The 22753-nt window shown below is 37.8% G+C and overlaps 1 long non-coding RNA gene across 1 annotated transcript in view, besides 1 other annotated feature; it reads left to right on the top strand.

The window, feature by feature from the left end:
• Nucleotides 1–22753, top strand: part of LOC124909415 (uncharacterized) — a 274299-nt gene that overhangs the window by 215218 nt on the left and 36328 nt on the right. The gene's annotated exons all lie outside the window — the stretch shown is intronic.
• Nucleotides 17892–18759: an enhancer, noted in NCBI's record as "H3K27ac hESC enhancer chr3:116763215-116764082 (GRCh37/hg19 assembly coordinates)". NCBI's record gives its function as "activates a minimal SCP1, AML or CMV promoter by ChIP-STARR-seq in primed H9 embryonic stem cells {active_cell/tissue: H9 hESC(primed)}" and the evidence as "EXISTENCE:reporter gene assay evidence [ECO:0000049][PMID:30033119]".

Here is a 22753-nt window from a genome sequence, read left to right as displayed (position 1 = left end):
CAATCTATTTGCCTGTGTGATAAGATAATTGATGAGATGATTGCTGTAAACCTTGGGAAAAGCAGTTTCTGGGTAATAACTAGGAGTGGGGCAGTTATCGAGAAATTAAGAAAGAGTGAGTAATGAGTGATGAGTACCTGGAGTCACTAAATATTTGGTTCTTTTCTGAAATTCTGAAAAGAGTGAGACAAGGATAGTAGTCAAGGGATATCTGAGTCAAAAATGGATTTGCTTTTGTTACTTTGGGTTTTTCTGTGTGACCAGCTCTTGTTTGTTTAAGAAAGGGAGCAAGCACAGAAAGAAGACAAGTGTACTTCCCTTTCGCATTGTAGAAAGTGAATGTGGAGTTGTACAAGACAGTGTTTGATGGAATGAAGCAATGAAAGAAGCAGGGTAGAGGGAAAGTAGTTAGAGCTTTAGGTCTTAAAAGGAACAAAGCCCTTAACTATTTAGAAGTTGTGAAGAGGGCCACCTTAAGTTTTTGCAAATTGAACTCTTTATGCTGTATTAAAGAATATGTTTTCATAACAACTTTTTTTAGGTCTCATCAGATGATGCGTGAGAGAAGACAGGGTGAGAAAAGACAGGGCTCTTGGCAAACCATGAAGTGTAAAGTAGCAACCAATTACTGAGAACCTACAATAAGCTAGGATGGTGCTAGGTGCATTACAGACATTTAAAAACAAACAAAGGGGTTGTTTCCAAGCTGAGTTCCCTGGAATCTTTTTGAAGCCCAGCGTTTAATCTTTAAAGTGAAACCTAACTTATCACTAATCAAATATCTACCAATCTAAAAGTCATATAATATGTTAGATATTGCTGTATATGCCAGCTCATATAGTTTAAGGCTCAAAAATTCCCATTTTACCTTTAAAGTAAACTTTCTGAGATTAATTGTCAAGGCCACGCAATTAATAAGCACTCAGTCCGAATCATACTCATTCGCCCTCTTCTTTTCACAAGGCTACACCATGAAGGTCAACAATTATTTTACATGATTGCTTTGAGCACTAAATGAGTTTGAGGGATGTCTTTCCTAGAATCCATCCTTATTCTCTCCTCATTCTTTCCCTATCACTGAAGCATTAACACTTCTCTTTTGTTTTCTTTTTATCTTTGTGCCTACCTTTCTAGATGTGTGGCATTTCAATTCTCTCTAACTCACTGACTGTTGTTGACTTTCTGGTTCACTCATGTCTTTCTTTCATTTCTCTCTTTTTTTTTTTTCTGTCTTCTCTCCTGAATACTGAAATTCTTCTCTAATATAGGAATATTATGACTTTGTGTTTGGCCCCAACTCTAATTGTTCTAGAATTTTAGGAATTTTAGTAGTGGTATATCAGAGAGGTGCTTGCTCTATTTATTCTAAATATTTTTTAGCAAAACCAAACACAGGCTGGGGGCAGAAGAGAAACTTGAATCAAACAAAAGCCTCAGCAAACATTTTTTCAGAGTTAATTTGAATTATTTAAAATGGATTCCTGGGGAAGTGGCATTTTGTCAACATGCTTAAAAATGTATATTCAAGGATGTTGTAGTGTATTGGGACTAATATATTCTCCGTATCATGAAGCGTTGCAGCATTTAGTTGAACATTTCCATAATGTTGCCAGCACTTCTTTATTTCACTTGAGAAGTAGGGAAAAATAATGTTTTAAAAATATTTATTGTTAGATTTAATTATACTCCAGACACATCTTAGTTGTTTGGATGGGATTGTGACATTGTGTATTGCAAAACCAATCACTTTATAAATTATCCTCATTTACATTGTATAGTTTTATGAATTTGATTATTAGTACAGAGAGTTCATTCCTTTAAAAGTAACAGTTCTTTCGGTTTACACTCAAACAAAGAAGTGAGATTTTTGTAATTACCCTTTTTTCTTAAAAAAAGATATTTTACAGCCTCTGAGCTGTGAAATATGGGGATCTCATTAGTTGCACTGAGATTTCCCTGTTACCACTCCAGCTGTTGACTATTTACTACGGGAGCTGGTGCTAGTGGTAGGCAGAGAAAAATGCTCATTTAGTTAGAGCTTTCCAGGTGAAGCGTTCTTTGAGGTTGATTTGAACATTTGCCTATAATGAGCAAAAGCTATGCATTATTCAAATCATGAAAAACTACAAGAATCTTCCCAAATTGTTCAGTGTTTTGTCAAATAAAATAAGTGCTAGTATTTAGAGGAAAATTCCATTACACTAATTAACTTAAAAAATTCATTAGCTAACACATGTTTTATTTAAATGATAAATACTAGGAAATCCCATATCTCACTGTTTATAGACACATTTTAGCACATTTGTGATTATTTCACTCATGGACAAACTAAGCTGTTGTTTACAGTTGTAATTATTATATAATCTAGCTTTCAAAGTCTCAACTGCATCTTAAATTATCATAAAAACAGTTGTCTATATCCCATTGACCTCTGGGGACATATTTTGTGAATGGTATTATTTTCTTAATGTGAAGTGATGTGCTGTGGTGGCTAAAGCCCCAGCTCTAAGAAAGACAAATCTGGGTTCGAATCCTTGATTAAGCACTTAAGAGATAAGCAAATTCAGCAAGTTGTCTGACCTCTCTTAGTCTATTTTGTCACTTGTTATGCAGGCCCAGTGATCCTAGTAAATGGATTGATTGATTCATGTTAATTACCTGGGTCATTAATTAATAACTTTACTCAGAAGTGGCATATCTATGTAAACTGTGTGGTAGAATAAAGGGTGACCTTTTTATTCCATTTTTCTTTGTATTTTCTAATTTTTCTCATATTAAATATAATTTTTTAATCAGCAAAAATAAAGATTATACAAAAGTACATAAGAGGTAATAGATACTAAGGAATTATTTTGAAAGGCAGGATAAAATAATTAAAGAATTTATCAAGGGAAAGGGTGATCTAGTCTGTGTCTATCCACTGCCTTCCCCTTCACCTCCCAACTGAAACCTCTGGAAACAGGTTCTGCCATCCGCTGGCACACTCCTAGGATTTCTGTTTGCATAGCCAAGAAGTGCAAGAGCCATGTTGCGAGATTTTCAATTTGATCGTCTCACATGAGGGTACCAGTGTTTTCAGACTGGAAACAGCATGTTAGTACACTTTGGCAATAATGCATTAAATACAGATGGGTTTGTTTTTAGCCAAATATGTATCATACAGCCAACAGCTGTTTAGATATTGCCAACGGTCTGTTTAGTACACAGAGAGACTGTGGGTTTCTTTTCTACTCAAGAAAATCTAGTGAACCTATGTAAAATCTCCACAACCGTGTCCAGTTGGCTACAAAACAGGAGACAGATCATCAGCACACTGACAAAAGCCTGCAACGATTTCTTTTTACTCCCAAATTTTATTATAATGAGGACAATTAGCATATCTTAAATCTATCTAAGTAATAACACAATCCCAGCTCTTTCAATAGATAAAGAATCCCTTATGATCTCAGCAATAATCCAATTAATGATAATGTTTGGTATTTTTTAATGTTTTCTTTAAAAGTATGAAGCACTGAGGAATATGCAGAGCCCTAGAAACATAGGACATCGCTGCTCCTGCCCACATCTCCCTCAAGTGTGAGAAGCGATGAGCATATGAAACATAGTATTTCTCATTGCCTAAGATTTTATTTTAATTACTATTAAAGACATCCAGATACAGAATTAAAAGACCATATGTATTATCTGAAAAGTGAAAAAACAAAACGGTATTTTATTCCATCAAATTCATGGCTGATTTAATAAAGGACTGTCACAATATAAACAAGCCAAACAAAATACAATTTTATATGTTCAAGAGCTCCCCTCCCCCACTCCCTTTTGTAAACATTGTTTTTGCACTTGAAGCAAGGGAAAACATTTATTTACACTCAGGATTTTAGGGATACTGCCACCATGTGGTAGTAAAGAAACATCTCATCAACTCCAATAATTTTTTTACTCCATGACCATATATTTCTATTTCTTAACAAATATAATTCTTTCACTTAAATGGATAAAGCTACAATACTTTAAGCAACCACCAAAAGTAATGCATTTGTCAACCTATAGGAAGAAACTAAGGCAAAATTAATATAAGTAGAGAGTTTATTTGGGCCCAGGTTTAGAACTGCAGCTCAGGAGTCACCAATTCAAATTGCCCTGAATATATGCACCAATTAGCAGCAGTTACAAGTGGGTTTTTAAAGAGAAAAAAAGAAGTTAGGGGATAGTTTCTAAGCTGTTTACCAGAAGTTTATGTTGGTTCATTAAAATAACATCAGCTATTGATTGGCTATATATTGTTTCTTATATTATAAATTTCAGGAACTTGAAGATAGTGGTTGAGGGTCACATTGTGTAACTTGTAGTAACATTTGAAGAAATTTATCAGCTAGTCTGGAAACTACAGGAAAGAAAGTAAAAACAAAATACCTTTCAGCAATTACCCCTGGGCATGGTTGCAAAGGATGTGACTGAATCCTCAAGCTCCTGTTTCTCTGGGCCTGATAAATTTTGCAGACCTCACATTCTTCAGACTGCTCCAAGTCACTTTTCTTTCTCACATCTTAAATCAGTTTAAAATCATAGAGGAGAATTAACTCTTATAACGCTTGCAGAGATGATCCAGATTTTGTGGGTCCTAAGATTTGGAAAATTGGGGGGATGTCTTCTTTTGAGAAATGTCTATACAAATCTTTTGCCTTTTTTGATTGGGTTATTAGATTTTTTCCTACTCAGCCGTAAAAAAGAATGAGATCCAGTCATTTGCAACAACATGGAAAGACCTGAAGATCATTATGTTAAGTGAAATAAGCCAGGCACAGAAAGACAAACATCACATGTTCTCACTTATTTGTGGAATCTAAAAATCAAATCAATTGAACTTATGGACATAGAGAATAGAAGGATGGTTACGAGAGGCTGGGAAGTGTAGTGGTGGGGGCGCTGGGGGAAGATGAGAATGATTAATGTGTGCAAAAAATTTAGAAAGAATGAATAAGACCTATTTGATACCACAATAGGGTGACTATAGTCAATAATAATAATAATATATTTTAAAATAACTTAAAGAATGTAATTGGATTGTTTGTAACCCAAAAGATAAATGCTTGAGGGGCTGGATACTCCGTTCTCCATGATGTGCTTATTTCACATTGCATACCTGTATCCAAACATCTCATGTACACTATGCATACATGTACCATGTACCCACAAAAAAATATATTTAAAATAATTTTTAAAAAAATTTTTAAAGAAGAAAACAGGCTGGGCATGGTGGCTCATGCCTGTATTCCCAGCACTTTGGGAGGCTGAGGCAGGTGGATCACCTGAAGTTGGGAGTTCCAGACCAGCCTGATCAACATGGAGAAACCCCGTCTCTACTAAAAATACAAAATTAGTCGGGCATAGTGGCACATGCAGCTACTCAGGAGGCTGAGGCAGGAGAATTGCTTGAACCTGGGAGATGGAGGTTGCAGTGAGCTGAGATTGTACCATTGCACTTCAACCTAGGCAACAAGAATGAAATTCCATCTCAAAAAAAAAAAAAAAAAAGAAAAAGAAAAAGAAAAAAACAAAACTTGAGCTCTTAAGAATACAAAATTAAATACAAAATTATTTATAAAAGGGAATAATATTTATTTTGAATTAGAAATCAAATAACCACCAATCACTTCAGGCTTGGAGATTCTTATCTCCTATTTCTGAAATTTCTAGACATTTTCCCCAAAAAACTCATTGAGAAATACTTCCTCTTTGCAACTTGGGCTCCCTGCTCCTCTTCACTTACTTGATAATACCATACAACACCCAGCATTCATTGGGGTCTGTATTAGTCTGTTCCCATGCTGCTAGTAAAGGCATACCCAAGACTAGGTAATGTATAAAGGAAAGAGGTTTAATTAACTCACAGTTCCACATGGCTGGGGAGGCCTCACAATCACGGTGAAAGGCAAAAGAGGAGCAAAGTCACGTCTTACATGACGATAGGCAAGAGGGCATGTGTGGGGGAACTTCCCTTTATAAAACCATCAGATCTCTTGAGACTTATTCACTATAATGAGAATAGCATGGAAAAAAATCACCCACGTGATTCAGTTACCTCCCACCAGGTCCCTCCCGTGACACATGGGGATTATTACAATTCAAGGTGAGATTTAGGTGGGGACACAGAGCCAAATCATATCAGGGTCTGTGCAAAGGGAGAGCTTGGAAGCTTAAGTCTTATTAGCTTTATGACAATCTCATCAAAAGGTAATTTTTGGCATTTCTTAGGATTTGCTTGCAGCTGTGAGGCTGTCCTATAAAATGAAGACAAGCAACTGTCTATATTCCTTCTCAACTCCAAAATACTTTTATAACTTTCTAGCTAACCCAAAAGCATTGTTATTAAATATTTACAGTAATCTCATGTTTTAAAGATGTTAAACATCCCTGGTAATTATTCCTTTGTTTCTAGTCTCTGGGCATTTCAGTATCTCTTAATGTGGCTGCCTCCTCACATAATTCTCCCCTTTGCTGTCTAGCCAGGAAGGACTGCTTCTCTTTTCAAACCAATAGAGCATCACTAAACTGCCTAGCTCTTACCTGCAGGGCTAAGGAAATCTGTAAGGACACTGATTGGAGAGGAAAAGCCATTGAAAAGGTAGGAGCAAGAGGGAGAAAGCAAAGCTCAGAACTTTCTGGAAAACATAAGTTTGCATCTATCTGATTACTGGTATTTTTCTTTAGATGTTGAAAATCTTAAATAAAGACAAAATATTTTGTTGGTTAAACGATTTCTTAGGTAAACATAGCAAATATTCTCAGTCCTGGTGTAGGTTATATTTTTCTACACAATAGAGTAGACACTTGAAATTTCTCTGTGGAAGAAAACCTGGAAACAAATTAGCTTTTAATCATGGGCTTTTTGAAATCATCAATTTTGTTATTAGACCTTTTCTCCCTCCTACTCTTCCTTTATCTTTTTTCTGCCCCATCACATCCCTGCTTTAAATGCTGTCTTAGGATCATATAATGGGACCCCTCCTAAGATATGTGTAAGCCAAACACATGAATTTGGAATAGGAGTTTATTCTTTCAGTGTCCCATTGTAAACAGAAAGGAGATGGGGGGAGAAAAAAAAAAAGCAAACCAAAAAAGGTATTGCTCTTCTTCTGACTTCAGTGAACACACAGATTTCTGGAAGGCAAAGGGAAGGGCAAAAGTAGCCACACAAAGGCCTAACAAACTGTTTTCTATTTACAACTGATATTAAATATTTGATTTTGTAAAAAGCAGGAATCAATGAAGAAGTTAATAAATTTCCAAACTTTTTTTTTTAATGTAAAGGCAAGGTTAGCAAAGGCAATTTGCATTTAAGTCAACACTTACTTGTCACATGTACTTTTCCCAACTCGAATAACCTGTGACATGAGAAAGATGAAAGCCATAGGATGTGTATAATCATCTTTAAAAGGTAATTGGCCGACACTTGCAATAAATATTTATTAAGGAAAGAAATGTCCTTTTCTGTTTTTCTGCCACTATGATTCCTGCTTCATCTCTGTCGCGTTCCCACTTCCTCATTAACTATGACTTCTCTTTTTATGATAGGGTTCAGACCACATCCTGATGGCAGAGAGAGGATGAAGGAGCCTTGAAAAGAAGTCTTGCTTCGTGTGTGTGTGTGTGTGTGTGTGTGTGTGTGTGTGGTGTGTGCGCATGTGTGTGTGTTTTAACCCAATACGCTGCTTTTCGAAGCTGTAGGAAAAGAGTCTGGGACAGAGCTAGATGCCTGGATGTTTGGAAAGGAAAAAAGAGAAAAGAGCATCAATTAGAAGATGGGCTAACATCAGATTGGCTTTGCTGCTCCTCACTTCCCACCTCTATCTATCTATCTATCTATCTATCTATCTATCTATCTATCTATCTATCTATCTATCTAGAGACAGGGTCTGGCTCTGTCACCCACGCTGGAGTACAGTGGTGGGATCTTGGCTCACTGCAACTTCTGCTTTCTGGGTTCAAACGATTTTCATGCCTCAGCCTCCAAGTACCTGAGATTACAGGCAAGCACCACCATACCTGGCTAATTTTTTTGTGTTTTTGATAGAGATGAAGGTTTTACCATGTTGGCCAGGCCAGTCTGGAACTCCTGGCCTCAAGTGATCCGCTGTCCTCGGCCTCACAAAGTGGGGGGACTACAGTGTGAGGCACCATGTGCAGCTCCTATCACCTTTTAAATCATTCCCACGTTATATGTTCTGCTTTAGCTCTTTACACTGTAACAGTCCGTCTTTGAAAATTGTGAAAAATCATTACATCAAGAGGGAAATCAGGCATTTGTCCAGTGGCCTTTCAGAACACTTAATGTGAAACAGAAAGCAAAGTTTAAGATCACCCTTTTTCCATTTGGCTTGTTGTGTTGTCCAGCCATTAACATTTCAATGACCCACTGAAATACAAGCCCCACCCAAATCCTATAAGCCCTTGCAAAGTTGCCTTGAAAAACATTGTTTTGTCCCTAGCCATTAATTACCTTTTTATATCCTTTTCCTCTCTCATTCCATTAGCTGCTTTTTGTCATGACATCCCTTGTCATGACTAATCTTTGCCATGGTTTTAAAAAATGCTGTTATATTTAATAATTACTTTATTTTAAGTAGATCTATTCTAAAATCTCTCCTCACCTCATTCATAAAGTATCTTTCAACCATTAAAATGGGAAGAGAAGTTTCTTCCTATAAACCAGCACTTTATCTTGTGGCATATAAATGCCACATCTCTCTCTCCATTCTCAATCCACATAAAATGGAATTTGGGTTCAATATGATTTCTAAGTGTAACTGATAACCCTGCCTTCCCCCCACCCTCAGTATCTATGCAATAAAGAGCAAAATTTTAGAAGATGCCTTATTATATAGTTTCATTTATTTCAAACTTCATATTATGCTTTAAAAGCCATAGGGTACATTTTAGGTGAATTGAAAAGTATTGTGACTGAGACTATTCAGGCATCTCTGGAGATTATTGGAAATGCACTGAAATATCACAGAAGCAAGGCTGTAAATATCTGATGTAAATAATGTAGAAGAACTGCTCAAAAATGATTAGGGTACACCTTCTATTTAACACCTGATATTTAAGTGCCAATTATGTAAAACATCTTGACTGTATTAATTTGATCTAATACAAGTCTGCAATGCTACAAAACAATGACTTTAATGTTTCTTGGAACTGGTCATCTTCCATTTAAGTAATTAAATTATATTGTTCATATCAGAGTTGCCCATATCAGGCCTATATAAATCCCAAAGGGCCTGGGTTGATCTCCTTTGGAAAAGTACCACCTACTGAGTCTCAGTGTGCTTTAATGAGGTATTTACAAGGAACCCTTTCCCCTCTCCCAGGCTTAAAGTACACACTTCTTACAAATAGAGTCCATTTCAATTGCTATCTGAATGTTTACCTTTAATATCTCTATAAGGATTAAAACAAACATTTCTGATTAAATGTTAACTTACTTTAGGCATTTACTGTAGGCATATCAGACATCCCCATTATGGTTTGTATGTGAACAGTACTTAATGTGAAAATTACTTTTTAAAAAATTGACAAGGAGATGGAATAACTCATTTCAACATTTCTGCAGGTCTCACCTTTTGGAAAGCTCATTACTGAATCAGGGAATGTTAAATTATATGTTCAAAACTCTAAGCTGCCAAGAATACAGTGTTGCACTTTAGAATACTAAAAGATTTCACTTACTTTATAAAATATTGCATAATTTATAAAATGTAAATTAAAGTCCTATTGGAAGTGGCGTTGTGAAAGGATGCTATCAAGTAATTCTTAATAGATTTTCCACCATTCCACTGTATCACTGGACACTTGAACAGTCATAAGTGTCACCAGCAGCTGAATCTTTCCATTTTCAGTTAACTTTAATTTGTTTTTTGTATGTCTTTTAAACCTATGGCTTATAGTACTTTGGCTTTATTTAGTTTGGCTATAGGTTCCTTAACTCAGGTGATGCGAAAGAGAGCAAGTTAACAAACCTTGTTATTCCCAAAGTCAGTCCTTTCAGCTGAGTCTTTTGATTTTGTCCACTTTGATTTTTCCACCTCCCTCTGTCCCACTGCCACTACCTATTTCAGGCCACCATCATCTATCACCTGGGTTACTGTAATTGTATCCCATCTGGATTCTCTATGCCTAGTCTTTTCTTTCTCCATCTATTCTCCACACTTAAGACAAAGACATCTAAAAGCAAATTTAATCATCTTGTTATTTATCTCTCAAAGCCCTCAAAGTAGCTCCTCTTTAAGGTCCCACCTCCCCAATATTACTGGAGTTGATTGCAAAAATAATATAATAAAGAAAGAAAAAGAAAACGACCATTTCTTTTATCTTGTACGCATGTGTCTTAGCCATGTGGCTGCTACTCCACCCATCAAAATGTAGATTCTATTTCTCTCCCTCTTGAATCTTAGCAGAACATGTGAGAAGCTTTGACCCAGAGATCGTAGGGAAGTAATTAGTAAAAGTTCTTAGCTTAGTCATCAGGAAGGCTTCCACTTTTGTTTTGGTTGTCTTGGAATGCTGCCCCGGGACTGCCATAGGAAGAAGCCTAGTCTGGCCAACTGAAAGATGGGAGGCCTCGAGGGACAGAGACAACCTTTCTCAGCTGAAGCTCCATAGACCCAACAGCCAGCACCAACTACTGTGCTAAGCACAGTGTGCATAGTGCACATCTTACCATAGTTTTAAAGGCAAGGAAACCAAGGGAGGTTGCAAACAGCCACCCTAAGATTAGGCATGAAATGTTGGAGCGAGATTCTAAATCCAGACACTTAACACCCACGACACCAACTCTTAACCACCATGCTACATAAACATTAACTTTAAATACATCCCATGTTGCAGACTGTTTTCCCCCACTTAATTATGTCTAACTGTGTGACCTTTTTATTGATCCTTAACCCAACCATATCAAAGTTTCCTCATGGCTTAAGACACATAATAGATCATATACCTATAGCACTTACCACAGTTCCCAGAATATGTTAAGTGCTGAATAATGATGGCTGCTATTTTTAGGCAGGTAGCAAATCTCTACACTTTGGGTATGAATTTTATTTTTCCAAACAGTCAAAAGCAATTTTGGTACTAAGAAAAGTGAGTAGAATGGGTAATTCCAACTTTAATTTCATTTTGCTTCAATAACAAAATATACTGATAAAGGAGAAAACAACCTATCTTGTCTGTGTTAGAACCTGGGTTTGACAGCCATTCCCTGAAGGTTTTGACAATAGATAGTATCACCAGTAAAGTGCAAGATAATACCCATAAAGTGACCCACTCACATGGAGGTATAAGTTCTGGAATGCTTATGAAAATATCAGTCTTTCTTATGGACAAACCTTACATAAGTTTATATGAACTTTATTTTAATAATAAACAAAAATATGGATAATACCTGGTTTTGAATATTCAGTATATTGATAAGTGCATAAGATGTGCTTGAGTTGGCTGAGTTCAGCTGTGCTACTGACAGTAGCCACGGAGTCATTCGAAGATGAAGCAACTTGAAGGTCAAAAGATTTTTACCATCTTCAAACTGTTTACTCGAGAACCTTTTTTTTTTTTTCTTCTTCTTCTTTTTCTTTTCTTTTTTTTTTTTTTTTTTTATTGATCATTCTTGGGTGTTTCTCGCAGAGGGGGATTTGGCAGGGTCACAGGACAATAGTGGAGGGAAGGTCAGCAGATAAACAAGTGAACAGAGGTCTCTGGTTTTCCTAGGCAGAGGACCCTGCGGCCTTCTGCAGTGTTTGTGTCCCTGGGTACTTGAGATTAGGGAGTGGTGATGACTCTTAACGAGCATGCTGCCTTCAAGCATCTGTTTAACAAAGCACATCTTGCACCACCCTTAATCCATTCAACCCTGAGTGGACACAGCACATGTTTCAGAGAGCACAGGGTTGGGGGCAAGGTCACAGATCAACAGGATCCCAAGGAAGAAGAATTTTTCTTAGTACAGAACAAAATGAAAAGTCTCCCATGTCTACCTCTTTCTACACAGACACGGCAACCATCCGATTTCTCAATCTTTTCCCCACCTTTCCCCCCTTTCTATTCCACAAAACCGCCATTGTCATCATGGCCCGTTCTCAATGAGCTGTTGGGTACACCTCCCAGACGGGGTGGAGGCCGGGCAGAGGGGCTCCTCACTTCCCAGTAGGGGCGGCTGGGCAGAGGCGCCCCTCACCTCCCAGACGGGGCGGCTGGCCGGGCGGGGGGCTGACCCCCCCACCTCCCTCCCGGACGGGGCGGCTGGCCGGGCGGGGGGCTGACCCCCCCACCTCCCTCCCGGACGGGGCGGCTGGCCGGGCGGGGGGCTGACCCCCACCTCCCTCCCGGACGGGGTGGCTGCCGGGCGGAGACGCTCCTCACTTCCCAGACGGGGTGGCTGCCGGGCGGAGGGACTCCTCACTTCTCAGATGGTGCGGCTGCCGGGCGGAGGGGCTCCTCACCTCTCAGACGGGGCGGCCGGGCAGAGACGCTCCTCACATCCCAGACGGGGCGGCAGGGCAGAGGCGCTCCCCACATCTCAGATGATGGGCGGCCGGGCAGAGACGCTCCTCACTTCCTAGATGGGATGGCGGCCAGGCAGAGACGCTCCTCACTTCCCAGACGGGGTGGCGGCCGGGTAGAGGCTGCAATCTCTGCACTTTGGGAGGCCAAGGCAGGCGGCTGGGAGGTGGAGGTTGTAGCGAGCTGAGATCACGCCACTGCACTCCAGCCTGGGCACCATTGAGCACTGAGTGAACGAGACTCGGTCTGCAATCCTGGCACCTCGGGAGGCCGAGGCTGGCGGATCACTCGTGGTTAGGAGCTGGAGACCAGCCCGGCCAACACAGCGAAACCCCGTCTCCACCAAAAAAATACGAAAACCAGTCAGGCGTGGCGGCGCGCGCCTGCAATCGCAGGCACTCGGCAGGCTGAGGCAGGAGAATCAGGCAGTGAGGTTGCAGTGAGCCGAGATGGCAGCAGTACAGTCCAGCTTTGGCTCTGCATCAGAGGGAGACCATGGAAAGAGAGGGAGAGGGAGACCGTGGGGAGAGGGAGACGAGGGAGAGGAGGGAGAGGGAGAGGGAGTTTTTTTTTTTTTTTTTTTTTTTTTTTAGTTTTCCATAGGTTATTGGGGTACAGGTGGTGTTTGGTTACATGAGTAAGTTCTTCAGTGGTGATTTGTGAGATTGTGTTGCACTCATCACCCAAGCAGTATACACTGCATGCTATTTGTAGTCTTTTATCCCTCGCCCCCCTCCTACCCTTCCCCCCAAGTCCCCAAAGTCCATTGTATCATTCTTATGCCTTTGCGTCCTCATAGCTTAGCTCCCACATATCAGTAAGAATTTCCAAGAAGGATGGATCTAACTTAGGTGTGACGTGGTGGCCAGCTAAGTGTCTTTTCTCTTATTTTACATATTAAGGGAGAAATTATTCTGTCCCTAAGAGACCTTTTGTTTCTTTAGAGAATAAAACCCAAAGTCCTCAACATGGCATCCCAGCTCTTGGTGACTGATTTTCTTTCTGCTTTATGGATGCCTTCTCAGTGCATCTTGCCTTTCCTGACTTCTGTGCTTTATTCATGTTTAGCTCTACTGGGATGTGCATTTCACTTTCCCATTCTTCCCCACTGTATTTAATCTTTCCTTATTTAAAAATTTCAACATCTGTCAAATTATATGACATTTTCCCCAGGAAGTCTTCTCTATGCCCTTAGTAAAAACAATCTTTTCTCTTAAATTTTTCAATAAAATTCTGTTGTGAGAGAATCTCTGCTCAAAATATAACAGAGATTATTTTAATAGCATTTGGAATTAATAATAGTAACTACATGATACGCTTGTTGGGGGATGCTGTGGTTCAGTATATGTGCCTTTGCAAATTCATATGTTAAACTTATTTTTCATAAGTTTAGTTTACATACATTGAAATGTATTATACGTAAGCTTACTTATGAATAAGTATATCTATAAACTTATTATTTATAAGTTTATGAGTAATATGTTTCAACACTGCATTATTATTCATAAGTTTCAACATATGAATTTGCAGGAGATAGATAAATTTCTTTTTTCTTTCTTTTTTTTTTTTTTTAGACAGGGTCTCACTTTGTCACCCAGGCTGGTGTTCAGTGGTACAATCAGCTCACTGCAGCCTCCACCTCCCAGGCTCAAGCAATCCTCCCACCTCAGCCCCCCAAATAGCTAGGAACACAGATGTGTGCCCCCACACTAAGCTAATTTTTTGCATTTTTTGTAGAGATGGGGTTTTGCCATGTTTCCCAGACTGATCTCGAACTTCTGGGCTTAAGTGATCTGCCCACCTCAGCCTCCCAAAATGCTAGGATTACAGGCGTGAGCCACTGCACTCAGCCTAGATTCATAAGTTTCAAGTATGTTAAAACTTATGAATAACAATGCAATAATATTAAGAAGCAGGGCCTATGGGAGTTGATTAGATCATGAGAGTGGAGCCCTGATGAATGGGATTAATCACCTTATTAAAAAAAACCTGAGGGAACTTGTTCCTCACTTCCACCATATGAGGACACATAGAAGGCACCATCTCTGAAGCAGAGAGCAAAACCTCATCAGACACTGACTCTGCTGGCAACTTGACCTTGTTCATTTCTGCTTCCAGAACTGTGACTAATATATTTCTGTCCTTTATAAATTACTCAGTGTAAGGTATTTTGCTATAGTAGCCTAAACAGACTAAGACAGGAGATTAAATGAGTTATTCCATGTTAAGGATTTAGAATAGTGCCAGGTATATAATAAACACTATATAAATGTTGGCTATTATTATTTTCAAGTGTTAAAAAATAATGTATAATTTAATTGTAGGGATAGTTGCACAATTTTGTAAGTTAAGCATGACAATGATATTGGATTATCAGTAAATCTACATAGGTAAGTAGTGAAAGTGAAAAGAGAATGGTATACAGAGTAGTCACACACTGGATTTGCATATGTATTGAGTGGTCTGAAAAAGCAAGATCTAAGAAGACAACAAAATCATGAAGTGTATATAATCAAGATTAAAATGGAGCTGCCAGAACTCAGATGACCTTATAGAGTTGTCACTCAGGAATTTAAAAAATATATATTACATTGCAAGATGGGGAAAATTATCTCACTTCCTAGGACTTTGTCTTGTCAATTAATTGGATAAATTACTTAATTGATTAAAACCCCTCTTCTCAAAATCAAACTCAATGCCAAAGTTAAGGTTGTTAAAACAAAAACTGATGACCAAAAAAGAAGGAGAAAAGATATGGGGCAATCAGAGAGGCTAGAGTTGCTGAGAAACAGACCTACTGACATATGGAATTCTTTGGGGATTTTTATCCATACCAACACAAAGAGGAAGCAGCAGTCCTCTTCATAGCCATCAGAGGTAAACCCTATGAATATTTAACTATGAATTCTCTGCAGACACATATGTATTATGTGTGTATGGATATGTAAATATATGATTAATTCATCTACAGAATATTGGATTTTCCTGAGCAATAGTACTTTGTAATAAGCCTAAAATCTCAAAATTTAAGAAAGAAATTTCCCTGTCCTATGATCTGTAATAAATTACATATTCTATAGGTAGGAGCTATGTTTTATTATCAGTTGCAATCCCACAAGCATCAGCATACCTTATCCATAGTAGGCTTTCCACAATTATATGACAGGCACAATGGGACAATTTTATTTCTTGATCTAGTAAACTTTATGCTCTCCTACACAGTCTTTGAATTTCTTATAGAGATTGTCACAATGCCAAGCATATAATAGACAACCCATTTGGTAGACTTAGTGAATTATTATATCAGTGTATTCCAAGAAGATAATAGTGTTTTTTTTTTAATGATAATACAGCACTATTATTTCCTTTTGTCATGTAGTCAACAAAATCAGCCATTTTTTTTCAAAGAAAATATATTAAATCAAGTTTTTCCCCATTCTATAAGTTAAATCTAAAAACTTAATGCAAGATTTTACATTAATCCATACTTAATCACGTCATACTAATTTGAACCCATTTGCCAGGCTGTCAAAAATTTTTTGAATCCTCTATGATGGTTTTTGCCTCCTACTTTATCATCTGTAAATGTCATCTGTCCTTTTTCTGTACACTGGCCTAAAATGTTAATCAAACATACAATAGTATAAACAATATATGAATCCAGAGTGCACATCTCTGCAGCCCTTGCTCTAGGCTGACATAAGGAAGGCAGTAAAAAGAATGTATGGTTTATTCTCTTTGGAAAATAGTGCCAAGGCATGCTCTGCTAATTGTATCAGAAACTTGTTTTTCCTGTTCAAAGCCCAGTACATCACGTTGCTATCTTATCAATTTTGTACACAGCCTGAAGTTTGTAAATAAATAGCTTTACTTTAAATTTAAATTGTCCTTAGCAAACAAGTTTTCTAGAACATACATTTATCATGAAAACATAAGAAAAGGGGGTCTGGTGTGAAAATAGATAATATAATTTAATTGGACATAATTAAATGATACTAGCATATTAAATTTGTATGGCACTTGTAAATACAAATCATTTCTTAGAACATATCTGGAAGGTTCATGGGTACTTTATTCAGATTTATGAATTCTAGAGTCACCCTTTCTTTATAAGTAGTGGGACATTTGTGTATTCATTGTTCTAAATCTTTCTTTGTTTTGCTATGCTTTTAAATGTTGATAAATCTGTCTCATGTAGAGCCAATTTGTTGATCTTTTCAAGTTTTACTTTCATCTGTTCAGGATGACAAAAGTAATAAGAACAGATTCCATTTGTTTTGGATTTATTACATATCACGTGCTTTACAGCCCTTTTTTTCATTTTATCTTCCAACAAGCCTATGATGTAGGTACTAAGAATAAGAGAAGTAAGCAACTTTTCCCAGAGTAAGCACCTTGCAAATGACAAAGCTGGTCTTAAACTCAGGCTTAGTTCAACCCAGGCTGCTTAGCTCTAGCAGGTCCTTACTAGAAATTTCCAATATGCATGCATTTATTTTCACATACGATTTTTCCAGAGTTTTGGAAAATAATAATAAAGAAAGAAGTCACCCTGATTATCACTTGACCCATAACTTGCTGAACCATGTTTTCTTTTTCAAGTATTACTATTCCGGACTCACTAGTAACTCACAGTATTTTTCTTCTAACAAGTGTTACTCCAATTATGTCTGCACCTTTGGTCAGCTACTGTGTGAAATAAATATTCGGTACAAGCTACATTTACTCATTTGTATTCTTAGTGCCACTACCCTTACCTTATCTCTTTCATGTTCTACCTGCCCCAGGCCTTGGATCATTCAAATTCATAGCAGGCCAAGCGATTATCAAAACTGAAAATCTGACCTGACTCTCCTCCTGAAAACCCCTCCATGTAGGTCCTCATTGACCTTAACATTTTAGGCTATGGTTTTAACCACTTAGTAAATAATACAGAGAGGGCTCTTTGGGATTTGAGCCTTGTTTACCTTTTACTATGACACCCATCCTGCATGGCAAGCTGCAGTCAGGGTTAGTCTGCCATCCTCTACCTCAAACCATTCCTACCCTCAACTCACCTTGCCTGCCTGACTAACATCAGAAATAGGTGTCCTGGAATTTGTTCAGAGACTCAACAATGCTACCAGAACTCAGGTTGTACTGTGCTGCTACTGAGATCCCTCCCTTCAAGGAAGTACTTACAAACCAACTGTGAGGCATGCATTGGGTAGAAAGCCTGCAGCTGTGAGCTGCTGCAGTGTCAGCCTCGGCTGCAGGGAGCCACCCTGCCCCCAGGCATACTCTTAGGGAAGCTGCCCTCTGGTGACTGAGCAAGGCTGACCCTAGTGTTTAAAGGTGTGGCCCACAACAGGACACTATAATTGGAAATTCTTTGCTCAAGAGCTCACTGTATTTTAGTTGAGGATTTATTGGGTCTGAATTAGTTTGTCTTCTTCCTCTGCCCAATCCTGCTCCCTCCACTTGTCTATCACATATGTTCATCCCCAAACTCTGTCTTAGTTCTGCTTCTACAGAATATAATCTCAAACTTTTTCTGGCATCCTTAGACAATGGTTCTCTCTTTTCACTGGATGGCTGCAGCAGTTTCTAGCATCGTGTCCTCATATGATATTACACAAAGGCCACGAAGGAGACAGGGGTGTAGGAGTCAGTGAGGGCATCAAGACAGCACTTTATTATTATTATTATTTTATTATTTTATTTGGGGGACAGAGTCTTGCTCTGTTGCCCAGGCTGGAGTGCAGTGGCACGATTTCGGCTTACTGAAACCTCCGCCTTCCGGGTTCAAGCAATTCTCTGCCTCAGCCTCCCAAGTAGCTGGGACTGCAGGCACATGCCACCACACCTGGCTAATTTTTGTATTTTTAGTAGAGACGGGGTTTCACCATCTTGGCCAGGCTGGTCTCGAACTCCTGACCTCGTGATCCACTCGCCTCGGCCTCCCAAAGTGTATTTTGTTTTGTTATAGAAGAAAATATTTCCCAGAATGCCCCAGCAAAATTAGCTCTTCATTTTACAGATAAAAGCTGAGTGGATTTTTTTTTTTTTTTAATCTCTATCTTGAGATGTTGACTCAGTCGGCAAGAAGGGTCATGTATCTAGAAAGAAGTTATCTAGGGCAAGTCTTCGAAGTTTTATGCTCATGAACCCCTAAAAAGAATTTTTAAAATTATATAGTTCCTTGCACATTAATTTCACATCAAAACCTGTTTTGTTATAAATTTAAATAGTTGTTAAAGTATGATTTCTAACATTTGTAAATATTTTAAAATAAAAATGTTTCATTATTCTTTAAGTGTATCCAGTGGAATCTGATTACAAGAGAAGTGATTTTTGTTTGTTTTGTTTTTGTTTTTTTTTGAGATGGAGTCTCACCCTATTGACCAGGCTGGAGTGCAATGGCGAGATCTCGCCTCACTGCAACCTCCACCTCCTGGGTTCAAACAATTCTCCTGCCTCAGCCTCCCAAGTAGCTGGGATTACAGGCGTCTGCCACCATGCCCTGCTAATCTTTGTATTTTTAGTAGAGACAGGGTTTCACCATGTTGGCCAGGCTGGTCTCGAACTGCTGACCTTGTGATCCACCTGCCTCGGCCTCCCAAAGTGCTGGGATTACAGGCGTGAGCCACCATACCTGGCCGAGAAGTTTTTATTTTATTTTAATTTTTTTTTAGAGACTGGGTCTCACTTTGTAACCCAGGCTGGAGTGCACTGACGTGATCACGATCACGGCTCACTGCAGCCTTGACAGCCTGGGCTCAAGCGATCCTCTCACTTCAGTTTCCCAAGTCGCTGGGACTACAGGTGCACCAACATGCCTAGCTATTTTTTTTTTTTTTTTAGCTTTTTGGAGATGAGGATCTCACTATGTTCCCAGGCTGGTCTTGAACTCCTGAACTCAAGCAGTCCTCCCACCTTGGCCTCTCAAGGTTCTGGGATTAGAGGTGTGAGGCACTGCGCCCAGCCAAGATTTTTTTTTAAATATGTTTTTAAAAACCCTCTTTATTATGAATTTTTAAGAATGTACAAAAGTAGAATAGTATAACAAACGTCCATTTACCAATTACCTAACTTAAAGTCACCATTCTGCCATTCTTAGGCATTTTCCCCCTATTTGTTACAGTATTTCAAAGTAAATTGCATACATCATACTACTTCATTCACAAATATTTTTAAATGTATATCTGACTGCAAAAACCACAAAACTGTTATGTCACAATCAGCATAATTTATAATATTCCCTTAATAGTGTCTAATATTCAATATATGCTCAATTTTTTCTGCTTCTTTTTTTTCTGCTGGCTTATGTGAATTAGGATCCAAAAAAGGTCCATGTGTTATATTTGATTGATTCCTTTTGAGTCTCTTTTACTCTGTAACATTTCTTTTTTTAAGTTTTCCATGGCACTTATTTGTGGGAGAAGTTGCATCTTTTGTCTTAGATATGATTGTGTTGTCACAACTGTGTCTTCATGGTGTTGTTTAACATGTTTTTCTTTCCCCTACATATCCCATAAACTGAAAGTTAGATCTAGTGAATTGATAGAATTAAGGATTATTTTGTTTTGTTTGCAAGAATACTTCATGGGTGATGCTTAGTATTTTCTGTCATATCATATCATGAGGCACTTTGCCGTATTATTAGTGATGTTAAGATTGATCAGTGGTTCAGGTGCTGTCAGCCTGATCCATCCATTTAAAATTCATCATCAGTCAGTTAAATAGTTTCAGCAGCTGCCTGTGATCAGATCCAATATTCCATTAAGGTTGCAAAATAGTGACTTTCTATCATTCTGCATTTATTATTCCTGCTTTCCTATAAAAATTTTTTCCTTATCAACTATTTGGTTACTTTGAAAAACAGGTCAGTAGAAAAGACAAGACAAGTACTTGATGTGTTCCCTTAATCAGTTTTCAGAATAATGAGTTGTTGCCCTGGCAACCTTCCATGGTTATAAATGAATTTTTTTTTGGTCACTGTGAACTTCTAGACTTTATATGTGTTTCAATCGATTGTGGTCATTATTCTTTTTGGTGCTCAGATTTTTCCATTTTTGACCATAGAAATTTCTTTCTGTTAGCTTTTGTCTTCTTTTGATGTGACCCTAGTGGTCTTTAATATCACCTTTCTTTCAGGCATGGCAAGCCTCACCTTATAAATGCTCTGCTGCAGACCCAGAATCAGCCATTTTTCCAACAGACAAGTTTTTTGTTTTGTTTTGTTCTGTTAGTCAAAACATAAATGGCATTTAGAACAAACAATCTAAGCACACCATACGATTTGCATCTTCACTGAATAAAAGCTTTTTAAACTGTCACCAATCTTACATTGTTCTTTTTTCTCTTGCACTTTTGTTCCCATTTCATTTTCCTCATGATTTTTATTCTAATGAAATATGTTTGAAATTATGTTATTGATCATCTTATCAGAACTCACTATGACAAAATTTATACATTTAACTTTTTCGTTATTTCATGTAATCATGTCTCCAAGTCTTAAATGGGTTCATAGCCTACATAAACTTCATAAAAGTTAATGAACTTCATACAAGTTAACCTCATAGAAATGACTTCATAAAAGTTATTTTTCTCCTAAGGATCTAAATAAATGTTCAAAAAATAAAAACACGTTTCATAAAAGTTGTGTTTTCTTTTGTTTTACTTAACAATGTAGTGTTCATCTGTGAGAAGTAAAGATGGAACTTTTTTCCTTCTTTTTTCTTGAAATCATGCAAAATATGCAACAGAGATAGAGAAGGGTGATTGAAAGTACAGGTACTCCCCTAGCCCTTTCTCACAACGGAACGGTGACAAGGGAGTCTTTCATAACAGATTAAGATTATCCTGCGTGCTTCTTACAAGTTTCAAACAATATAATTCTAAAACAGGTAGAAAAGGCACAGAGTCTTTCTTTTTGAGTCCTGTATTTACCTCGATGAAGTAAGGTACCCTCATCTTTCTTAGCAACGCTTTACTAGTTTTGCTTCCTCAAAACCTATGCGTTCTTTGTCAGTAGTCAAGGGTGGAAGAAATGAAGACGTAGAAAGAGCTATAACTTCACTCCTTTTGCTACACTGTTTGACACATTTGAATTCAGAATGCTCTAACATTGACCAAACTTTCCTGCTTCTGATGTCACATATCACCCTGCAGACTTCACATTGTCTCTTTGTTTGAATCAGGGATTCAGGCGTTTGAATCCTGGAACAATGTAAGATTTTGGACAGGTAAATGGTAGGCCTTTCTTCTTAAAGTGAAGGAAGAGAAATAATGAAAGAAAGAGTGGGAAACAAGAAAGCCAACCAATTAATTTAAGAATGTAAGAAATCTGAGGATTGGAAAATTGATTCAGTAGAAACTATTTGTGCTTGCATACCTCCTTGAATAGATTTTGTGTACAAGTACCTCATTTGGAAGACTGCTGTGCTAACGTATATATCCAGTAGTGGCACTGAAATTTCCTAGATTAGACACATGAATAATTGTACTAAGTCCTGGGAGATTGTCCTTTAGTTTTGTAGATCTATATTACACATTTCTACCAGTAAACATCCCATTTCCTTAGACTCTTATCAATACTTATTATTCAACTTTTTATTTTTTGCCAGTCAAGTAGGTACAAATTCGTATCTCGAGGTAGTTTTATTTTCTGATTGTATTTTCCTGATTAATTGTATTCCTGTCATACTTCAAGGTTTCTCATTCTGTGAACCTTATTTGTGAATTCTCTGTCCATTTTTTATTTTCTTTCCTTTGGGTAGTTGATTTTCTGGAATTTCTTGAATGTTCTTTATATTAATCTTTTCAAGATTTTAAATGTCAGAACTATCTTCTCAAAGCATATCACCTTTCAATTTTACAAATAGTAACATATGGTGAACATAAATACTTAATTTACATATAGTCAAAGCCAACAATTATTTTATGATTTTCTTTGTAGTTTGTGCTTTCGGAGTCTTGTTTAACCATTATGTACTCACTCCAAGGTAACCAGTGTATTTCCTTAGTTTATTGTATTAGCATTACTCCTTTAGTTTCCACATGTTTGAAATTCACCTTTGTGTATAGTATATGGTAGGGGGTTCAACCTTGTCGTTCTCCATAAATGAATCTATCTCTCCCAAATATTTTTTACATAATTATTCCTTTATAGATTTCATTACTGTTTTGTTATGTCTATAGCTCCTCTATGGATTAT

This window comes from Homo sapiens, chromosome 3 (genome assembly GCF_000001405.40).
Source record: "Homo sapiens chromosome 3, GRCh38.p14 Primary Assembly".
NCBI lineage: Eukaryota > Metazoa > Chordata > Mammalia > Primates > Hominidae > Homo > Homo sapiens.
This window is presented reverse-complemented; position numbering and strand designations above follow the sequence as displayed.